Source organism: Homo sapiens, chromosome 11, assembly GCF_000001405.40.
Source record: "Homo sapiens chromosome 11, GRCh38.p14 Primary Assembly".
NCBI lineage: Eukaryota > Metazoa > Chordata > Mammalia > Primates > Hominidae > Homo > Homo sapiens.
The window spans coordinates 87,082,483-87,092,857 of record NC_000011.10 but is presented as its reverse complement, the minus strand read 5'-3'; the positions used below and the strand labels follow the sequence as shown (position 1 = coordinate 87,092,857).

Sequence of the window (10,375 nt, the reverse complement as noted above, 5' to 3'; positions counted from 1 at the left end):
GAGAAAAAAAGAGAGATTACCTAAAAAGTAAAACCAACAGACTACAAAAAGTAAAAAAAAGTAACCACAGAGAACAAAGATAAAGGATTATCTTTAAATCACTGTCAATCTAGAATTCTATACCCAGCAAGATTGTCATTAATTCAACAAATATTTATCAAATCTCTATTACATGACAGACTCTATTTAGAAGCTCAAAAGCTTACATCCTAGTAAGAATTCTTTCAAGGAGAATAATGCCAAAAAGAAATCCTGCTCTCCTGCTGTCCTGAAATTTCCATTTCATTACAATTAAAAGTCCTTAGAACTCCTAATTTTCTGGAGTATTTTAAAATAAATTTACTTGATGGCATACCCTAGGCTTTCTTAATTGGTGGTCCATGAACACTCTGAAATGAAATTTAGGTATCATTCCTTACATGAGCAGTTTTCTATACAGAATGTCCACATATGTCATCAGATTCTCAAAGAGGTCTATGACTCAAAAGGGGTTACACCCACTTTTCTCTGACCCAACCGCACACACCCAGAATAGTTTGCTGCTATATAATTTCCACAGGACCCTATAAATCATCTTTCAGTCCTTTTCATACATTATTATTTCTGCCGTGACTTCTCCCACTAGAGAGTAAAACTCCATGAATGCAAAAGCTATCTCTTGTTTACCAGCATCTAGCACAGAAACACAAAAGTACAGAGCAAAAACTAAATATTTTATAACTAAAATGAATTGCTAAATGTAACTCTGAAATATACTCCCTTGTTACAGAATTCAAGAACTAAACCTTAGGTAAATAAATAATTATTAATCTTTCCTAGTTAAATTTTTTAATGTTGCCTATCAAGTCTATTAAACAACCTGAAAAGATTTTAATGTAAATGTTTTTAAAATATTAACTTGGCAATAAAATTTACATAAACTTGATTATATATTTACTTTAAAGAATATCAAACAACATAACATTAACTTCATTTTTGTAAACTTAAAAATTTGGAAGCCTAGCTAATTATATTATTAAATGCACTGAGTGTTTGGAGATAGTACCAATGTTGTTTTTATATTCAAGAAGAACATACATCATAAAAACCCATCCTTATATCATTTTTCCCATAAGAAATCACAACAGAGGCAGAATATGAAATTAGATATATAAAGAGATATAAAGAGACAGATATATACACATACAAGTACAGCCTATCAGAGATGAAGACGTAAACTTAAAAAAGGCAATGAAGAGCACAAGACAGTGATTTCCTTCTAAAATAAGTGAAATTCAATCCTATATGATGGAACAAACCAGATGGTATCAAGGCTTTTTTGAACATTTAATTCTATCCATTAACACAGAGAAGATTATCCTCAAATACAAGTGGCTTTCCTCTTTTACTTTTTTTAAGAAAACTTGATTTTAAAAAGATATAGCTTATGGGAAGACATCAAAGGTTAAAACAAAATACTTACCAAGTTGGCCATATAAATTGTGAGCAGCCCTCTCCTGCAAATAATTTTAAAAGGAAGATATTAAACTTCAATTTGACTTAGTAATCACTTTATCATTTATTAGAAGTCTATAAAAAGAATTATATTCTCAGAAATTGAGAAACGTACTGGTATCTTAGAAAAACAGGTAAATTATGCCGAACTAATTTCTCTCTGACCTAAATTTAGCTGCATCTAAATAAATTCCATAAAGTCACTTGTTTTGTGGTCATTAAATATTCTTAGAAGTCATTAAGTAAATATTTAAAATTACTATTTCCCCATTGTTATTTGTTATTGGCAAGAGTGGTATAATTTCCTACTAGTCTATGTTTATGCTAGAGAAATCTAAATTTTGTAATAAAGAATTCTAATTCATCTTGCCAAAATGTAAAGAACAATTCTGACCAAATAAAAATTTATGAAAAAATAAATAAAACAAGCCTTCTATCTGTTTCACACACAATACAATTGTTTCATTAAATAATATTACAAATCATACTAAATCACATTGGTTTTAATTTCATTTTAAACGAAAAGTCAGGCACTAAGGGAACTTTCTAATGCCAAAGGACAAACAAAAGTTCTATGAACACTTTACAGAAAAACTGCATATTTACCAAACTTATTTAATAAAAATTCAGGTAGAAAGTCAAACATAACAACTTTTTTCTGCCCTTAATCAGTTTACTTAGCTTATACTGCATATGAGAAATGAATGAAGCACATTCTATTCTCTAGGAAATGTCTTCAATAGGTTTTAAGAATTCAAGGGCAGAGTTTGACCTCTGAAAATTACAAAAACTTATTTTAGTTTCCTTTATGAACATTTTCAGTACTCAAAGAAAATAAAATATATATAAAAAGTACCAATGTCAAATCACTTTCATTTAAATATGCCGAATCTTCATATTAATATTATCAATGAAATCTTCTTGATGCCCGATTCATACACAGTCCTGAATGTTCATTATTTTAAATGGTTTAGTAAGATTTTTAATATTCCTAAAGCCACATGCAGGCAGTATGATTTAACTGAACAGTACTAAAGTAAAGTTAGGTACTCTGGGACTCTGTAATTTTGTCATTAAAATTAGGGAACATTTGAGGGACTAGTTATCTACTTATTAAATCTACTTTTTTTAACATAAAAATTATTAAAGAAAAAATTTACATTATCACCAATATATAAAATATAACATTGGACCTACTCTGGTTAAAAGGGGAAGGGGATATAGGACCCACAGTGCCATACACCCAGTGCCATACACTCCTAGGAATCTCTCCTCAGCAGATCCTAATGCATTTCAGCAGAACAAGAGAACCCAATTGCCCTTACAAAAAGAATTTTTAAAAATCACTGGTAAAGGTGATAGGATGATCTATGCAGCAAACGAACATGGCAGAAACCTGCACATTCTACACATGTACTCCTGAACTGAAAAGTTAGGAAAAGAAAATAATAATAAAATCACTTGTAAGATTATCTATAAGGTTTTTTTAATGTCCTTTTTTCTATGATTTTTACATATGGATTGAAAGTGTTCTTACTAGTTCTCACCATTAGTTCCCACCAAATTCTAAATCAAAAATACTCTAATACTGCTTATTCTAAATAAGTTATACTGAGAAAAATTAGGGTAACATTAACATCCAAGAGTCCCACATACACTGAAGAAAGAAAAGTTAAGTGCTTCTCAAGGGATACCCATTTTTACCAAAAGCTGGTTACATATGAAGAAAAAACATATATGTTACAAATTCCAAAATAAAAATATTTCTTTACTTTCTGTGAGAGAGCCTGACAATTTTTTTTTCTTTTTCTTTTTCTTTTTGAGACAGGATCTCATTCTGTCACTCAGGCTGGAGTGCAGTAGTACAGTCATAGCTCACTGCAGTCTCAAACTCCTGGGCTCAAGTGATCTTACTGCCTCAGTTTCCCAAATAGCTGAAACTACTTGTTTCAGTAGGTGCACACTACCATGCCTACTAATTTTTTAATTTTCTGTAGAGACACAGTCTCGCTATGCTGTCCAAGCTGGTTCAAGTTTCTGGATTTAGGCCATCCTCCTGCCCTGGCACCCCAAAGTTCTGGGATTACAGGCATGTGCTACCGTACCCCGCTGACAAATGCATTTCAAGGTGAAATGAGCTAAAGCTGAGTATCCCTTATCCAAAATGCCTGAGACTAGAAGTGTTTCCAATTTTTGATTTTTTTGTATTTTGTAGTATTTGCATATACATAATGAAATAACTTGGGGATGAGATCCAAGTCTAAACATAAAATTCATTTATGTTTCATATACACCTTATACTTGGCAAAAACTGCAATTACTTTTGCACCAACCTAAATACATACAACTTAATGCAATTTTATATAACATTTTTAGTAATTTTGTGCATGAAACAAAGTTTGTGTTCAGTACTTAAATGTGAAATTTTCCACTTATGGCATCATGCTGGTGCTCAATCATAACTAAGGTTATTATGTTGTTATTGTAAACCACAGAAATAAACAAATCTCTTTGACAATTGTGTTTTTGACTGGAGCTACCCTGGACATTTTGTCATTCACAGACAGTTGTCTTGATCCTCTTCCAAAAATGGTTTATAATCAGCTACAGGACTCTGACAGGTGCTCTTAAATGCAGGTTTCTAATATCTTTGGAGATTGTGACATTGGAATAAAGGAAAATCATTCAGGACTCATGAAGAGCTGAAATGTTCATGAATATCAAGCAGGACAAGAGTTAACTGAATAGACCGAACTAATAGAAAACTTAAGTAATCTTTTTTAACTTTTTGCTTAAAACATTGCTGATCCTTGTTTTATTTTTCAGAGTCACGGAAGTTTTTCTCTTGAGCTATCTACAGTTTTCAACAATTGAGTAAGGTATACTCCTATGAACAAAGTTTGGAGAATATTTGTTTCTTTCTGCTTGGTTTCTTCAGAATTTGGAAACTTTGTGAGTATTCTTAACATAGGGTAATATAGTTATTTGTATCACTGCAATAAGAATCCATTTTCTTTTGCAACAAGACACAACTGGAGAGACTGGTTGTTTTACCAAGGCTTTGACTGGAAGGGTGTGCTTCCCTTAAGGAATTAAGCTTGACTTGCAGAGCCAATAAAAGCCCCTTGGGGAAACTGGCCTCATACCCTGTCTACACAGTTCCTGTACAGGGTTCCTAACTTGTGGTGAGTAAAGAATGTCACTTTCTATCAGGTCCAGGAGCCCCAAGTTATCTTGACACCTCAAGAAGAGAGGAATTTACCCAATTCACAGGTATTTGAGGGTACAAACCCATGGCTGGGCTCAGCTTTAAAAAGTCTCATCTGAACCAGGTGTGGTGGCTCACACCTGTAATCCCAACACTTCAGGAGGCCAAGGAGGGCGGATCACCTGGGATCGGCAGTTCGAGACCAGCCTGACCAACATGAAGAAACCCCATCTCTACTAAAAATACAAAAAATTAGCTGGGCGTGGTGGTGCATGCCTGTAATCCCAGCTACTCGGGAGGCTGAGGCAGGAGAATCACTTGAACCAAGGACGCAGAGGTTGCAGTGGGCCAAGATCGCACCATTGCACTCAAGCCTGGGTAACAAGAGCAAAACTCCAACTCAAAAAAAAACAGTCTTATCTGAGATTCCGTATGGAATAGAATTCCATCAGAGCCAATTTTAAAAGCCTATGTGAAAATAATTATTCTTGGTACACTTGATGCAAATGATTAAGCCGAGTATAACACTGAAGTTTATTCTGCAAACAACTCGGTCCTATCATGACTTGTTTGTAACAAAATGAGGACTGGAGAGAAAGAAGTAAGTTTCAAAACTTATCATACACTTCTCATTAAATTCTCACCTCATTAGTTGTTTTTAAGTTTTGTCTGCATTTTAGACTAACCCTGCTTATTCCTGTGAACCAGCCAGTGATCTCTGGCTGCAGCTAAGAAGAAAGAAAATGGATGGGTAATGTAAAAATCTGGATCAACACTCTAATTCTGGGCAATTATCCTGCAACTCCTGCCAAGTGGTGAGAATAAATGGGGTGCCCATAACCTGAAGGTTTTTTTTTTTTTTTTTGAAAATAAGACCAAAGGTGCTAACCAAACCAAGCCCCATGCACCCAGGTCTTAGCAGACATAACTATAGCCACCAGTTATCTGGGCATGTCAGCAGCCTCGGAGTTTTTGAGCTGTTCTTACCCCCATGTTTTGTTTTGATGCATGTCTTCTAATATCCTGGTTTGTCTCTTCTCACCTTCAGGCCATCAAACTCCAAACAGTCATGCAACCGGAGCCTCAAATGATGGCTCCCTTTTACTGGGGACCCTTAGATAGGCCTCTAAGAGAGACATGACTGCCATTTTCCCAAAACAGCACCCCCATCAGCAGAAAGCAGTTAAGACTGGTCATCGTCCTTAACCTAACGGCAATTAGAGGTACCTCTTCAGAAGGGGAAATTGATAGCAGCAGGAGGCAGTCAAATGCCTAGGCAGATAGGGGTGGGTCCCTGGTGAAATCCTACCTCCAAGCCAAAGATAGTTTAAAGCCTGAAAGCCAAGCTACAAGTCAAATCCACAGACCAGATTAAGAACTTGCCTTCCTGTTTGGCATACTTTCCTCCAATTAATCCCCACCCTCCACCTATTTTACATATACCTACCCTTTCCTAATTGGTTTTCTATGCTGTCATGCCCACCTTTGAGTAGTCTTTGTTTTAAACTTTTTTGCATACTCACAAACCAATCAGCAAGCACTTCCCTATTCTGAGGCCATAAAAGCCCCAGACACAGGCACACTGAGAGGAAAAAAAACACCAAACTGTGGGGGTGGGGGACCACCCCCACGTCTCCTCTCCACTGAGCTGTTCCACCGCTTAATAAAATTCTTCTCTGCCCTCTTCACCCTTCAAATTATCAGCATATCCTAATTCTTCTTGGACACGGAACAAGAGCCTGGAAACTGCCAAACATGGGTACAAGCCATAACACAGGCGGGCCACGTAGAGGTGCTGCCTCCAGTGGAAGGCCTGGGGCTAAGCAAGGCCTGGGTGCAGGGCAGGGGGCATCACTGGCTGTGGAGATCTCCAGTTGGCAAAGTGGACAAGAAAAATCCTGCATCAATACCTCACACCTAAGGCATACGAGGCACTAAACAAATGATTATGGAATTACTAGACATAGCCAACAAGGTATTTCTAAGAACAAATCCTTACAGAAAAAAAGTGTATTATAGACATATAATCACCAAAGATAACCACTAGGACAAGGGAGGGCCAATTAATGATACCAATTTATTAGCAAAGAAGTGATCAGACCTCCTTAAAGTTGCATAAAACTTAACAATCTACAAGGTATAATCAATATTATGAAATCAAATTTTACCCACCCAATAGTACCATGAAGTGTAAGGCAGATACCATTATCCTTACTCTATTGAAGACCAAGAATCAGAGAAGTGAAGTGGTTTCCTTAAAAAGGTAAAAGTAACAAAAAGACAAGCTGGAATTCAGAGTCAGTTCATCTGACTCCAGTTTCAGGTTCTGTCCAATGCATTACTTCTACAGAAAATCTTTGCACTACTAAATTATCTTTTTTGTTGTTGTTTGTTTGTTTTTGAGACAGTCTTGCTCTGTCACCCAGGCTGGAGTGCAGCGGTTCAATCTTGGCTCACTGAAACTTCCACCTCCCAGGCACAAGGCATCCTCCCACCCCAGCCTCCCGAGTAGCCAGCACCACAGGCACACACCACCACACCCAGCTAATTTTTTGTATTTTGGGTAGAGCAAGGTTTCACCATGTTGGCCAGGCTGGTCTCGAAATCCTGAGCTCAAGCAATCTGCCCTCCTCGGCCTCCCAAAGTGCTGGAATAACAGGCATGAGCCACCGCACCTGGCCCTAAATCATCTTTAAGTTCTGTAATTCACTTGCTTGTTTAACATGGCATCCTAACAGGCTTCTATTCTTTGAGGAAGACTAAAGCCTTCACATACTGTTACTATTATGAAAAAGCAGAGAATGTATTGCTATTAGATTAAGTCCTATTCTGTTCTCAAAATTTCAATTTATCTTTCCCCAAATCACCTCCTTAACAGCTTTTGCTGAATTCAGACCCGGAGAGAATATTATCTCTGAAGGGTATGATATGTTGGATTATAGAGCCACACTCTTTGACAGGATTTCTTTCACGCAACATCTTCATCCTCTGTTCCAATGTCAACTTTATAACTGTACTATATCAGACCAATAATTTATCACTTCTTCAGTTATGTTAAGCACTACGAAAAACTGAGAAGTCAATTAAATGCCAATTTATTGTTTTACATTTGACTATATTTAGCCTAAATCTGAAGACAAATAGGCCACTCCCTTACTGGTGAGTAAATCCTCTTTGGAAACCAAGTTATCTATTAAAACATGGCTAATACAATGATGGAGAGGGGGAGGTGCCCATTAGAACAGATGATGGCATAGGCCTGAAAAGGAGAAGCTGGGGCCAAGAAGTACAATAAGTAACTTGTTAAACTTCACAGGAGATTCTGATACCCATATCCTATACTCCCATTCTACTGAGAGTCACTAGATTAGAAGGCTGGGAAAGCTCAGCAGATAAGCAGTCCAATATTCCTTTATACCACATAAGCTTTTCTCATTGTTCCCTTCTTTTATTTATCTATTTATTTTGGTTGGAGAAGGTATTCAATCTCTCAAAGTTGCGGCATACAACTTTGTGCACCTCCAGGGGTGTTATCAAAAAAAGTATTAAGAACAATTGCAGCCAGGCACAGTGCCTCATACATGTAATCCCAGCACTTTGTGAGGCCAAGATAGGAGGATCACTTAAGCCCATGAGTTTGAGATAGCCTGTGCTATCACATCTCTACCAAAAATAAAAAACTGACCTGGTCACGGTGGCACATGCCTGTGGTCCCAGCTACTGGGGAGACTGAGGCAGGAGGATCACCTGTGCCCAAGAGATCAAGGCTGCAGTGAGCTATGATTGTACCACTGTACTCTAGCCTAGATGACAAGTGAAACTCTGTCTCAAAAAAAAAAAAAGAACCACTGCTACAGGAACTGTGTAGTCAGAGTATCATCATTCTTATAGGAAAACATTAAATAACATAAATGTTCTGTAACATCTTAGTAGATTAAAAAGTATCCACACATCCTGCTGAAATTCTAAGCATTATTATCATCTAACAGCATTATCATTTCTAATTAGATGCGTAATCAATAATGGGTTTTTTTTCCAGAAGCTTTGGTGTATATATTATTTAGCTAACCTCAAAGTTTTGAATAATACTACATATCACACTTCACAAGAGGCCGCTGGGGAATACAGTAGGAACAATGCAACTTCTAAATTCTAAATATGTATATATCCTATATATGCATATGAAATATACATATAAAAATAATTATATGTTCTATAAATAAGGAGATATTAGAAATAAAAGAAAGTGAAAATTCCTAAACATTGTAATGGCTTATTAAGAAATGCTATTTAATCATCTCAGAAAATCTTTCAAGGTATAATGGGTTTTTAACTGTCAGAATGTTTTAGAAGGTATAAAAATACTTCCTTGAGGCATAGGAATTAATAGAATAAATTTCTAATCTAGAGCAAGAGTCTATGATCATGTTCTATCTTATATAGTACATAAAGAGTAAACTTTACAGAAGGCTACAAAGTGTTTAATCTTCTGGTGAAGTTAACATGCCAATGAAACTTGAAGATACCAAGAACTTACAGACCAAATTTATGAGTATTCTTTTATTCCCATATTATATAGATCATTCATTCTGGTCATACCTGGTTTGGAGTTTCATAAGTACTATAGTGCAATTTAATAATTCAACAAATGAGTATGCTTGCAATAAATATGCAATTGTTGATACTTTAATCCATGTTCATGTTTGAGCACACTGCAATTCTTAACTAATACTAAATATCAAAGCAAATTCCACAGCAATTCTACAAAACAAAATCCATCAGAACAACTTCTTTCTAAACCACAAACAAAGCACTTCCTAGAAAAAGAAAAAGAAGACTAGTTCTTAACAGCCCTCCTACAGATAAACTAGATGTTACCAATGCTTCCTACTGAGTTACTATGATCAGAGTCCTTTGTGGCACAAATTTTTTAAGCAACCCTGGAAACAACCTCAAAGCTCTCTCAGAACCCCACAATGATGCGATTAAGATTTAAGTAAGCTGCCCTCTTACTGGGTGTCAGAAACTAGCAAGCAAGCACGCTTAATACTACTAGAAAGGGAGGGGGTAATTGATGAATGGATTAGAGAGAAGGAAAAAAGAGGAAGAAAGAAACTTAAACCAATATAGATGAAGATATTTACAGATAGATCTTTATCTATGTATTTATATCTATATCCAGATAGAGAGATAAGTGCATATTGTATGTTCTCACCTCATTAAATACTTTTTGAAAAACTGATTATACAACTGAATGCAAAATCTCAGAGTAAAGATTGCACTATTAAAGCTTTAGAGGTTTAAAACTTAGGACTACCATTATTTGCTATTTTTTAAAAAGAAACTGCTAGTCATCACAATATGTTTCTTCTACTCTTTCTCGTATATTGCTGACATTAAATTTAAAGACTGAACTGTACACATTTCAATTGACAACTGGCTCCTTAAATGTTGCTGCTTCTAAACGTTCAATCTTAGACCTCCTCTCATACTGGGCTTTCACACATGAATCTACTTCCACAGTTTCAACGACCACCTATTAGAGGAAAACTTTCCATTTTTATTTTTCTAACTACCATCTTTCCCTTGAACCTAGACTCACATTTCCAGCTGCCTGCTGGCTATTTCCACCAGCATATCATTGATTTTCTCTGTGAATTAAAGGCATAATTA

The 10,375-nt window shown here is 35.9% G+C and overlaps 1 protein-coding gene across 4 annotated transcripts in view, besides 1 other annotated feature; it reads right to left on the bottom strand.

Annotated features, from left to right (window-relative positions):
• The window catches only part of TMEM135 (transmembrane protein 135), a 290,891-nt gene that overhangs the window by 235,967 nt on the left and 44,549 nt on the right, over positions 1-10,375 (bottom strand). For 3 of the 4 annotated variants that reach the window (NM_022918.4, NM_001168724.2, XM_017018141.3), the window contains one exon: positions 1,463-1,496. The exons of the other annotated variant lie outside the window; for it this stretch is intronic. In NM_022918.4, coding sequence (NP_075069.3) covers positions 1,463-1,496 — 34 coding nt within the window. The remainder of the gene's footprint in view (positions 1-1,462; positions 1,497-10,375) is intronic. 4 annotated transcript variants of the gene reach the window in all.
• Positions 9,196-10,035: an enhancer, noted in NCBI's record as "OCT4-NANOG hESC enhancer chr11:86793865-86794704 (GRCh37/hg19 assembly coordinates)". NCBI's record gives its function as "activates a minimal SCP1, AML or CMV promoter by ChIP-STARR-seq in naive and primed H9 embryonic stem cells {active_cell/tissue: H9 hESC(naive and primed)}" and the evidence as "EXISTENCE:reporter gene assay evidence [ECO:0000049][PMID:30033119]".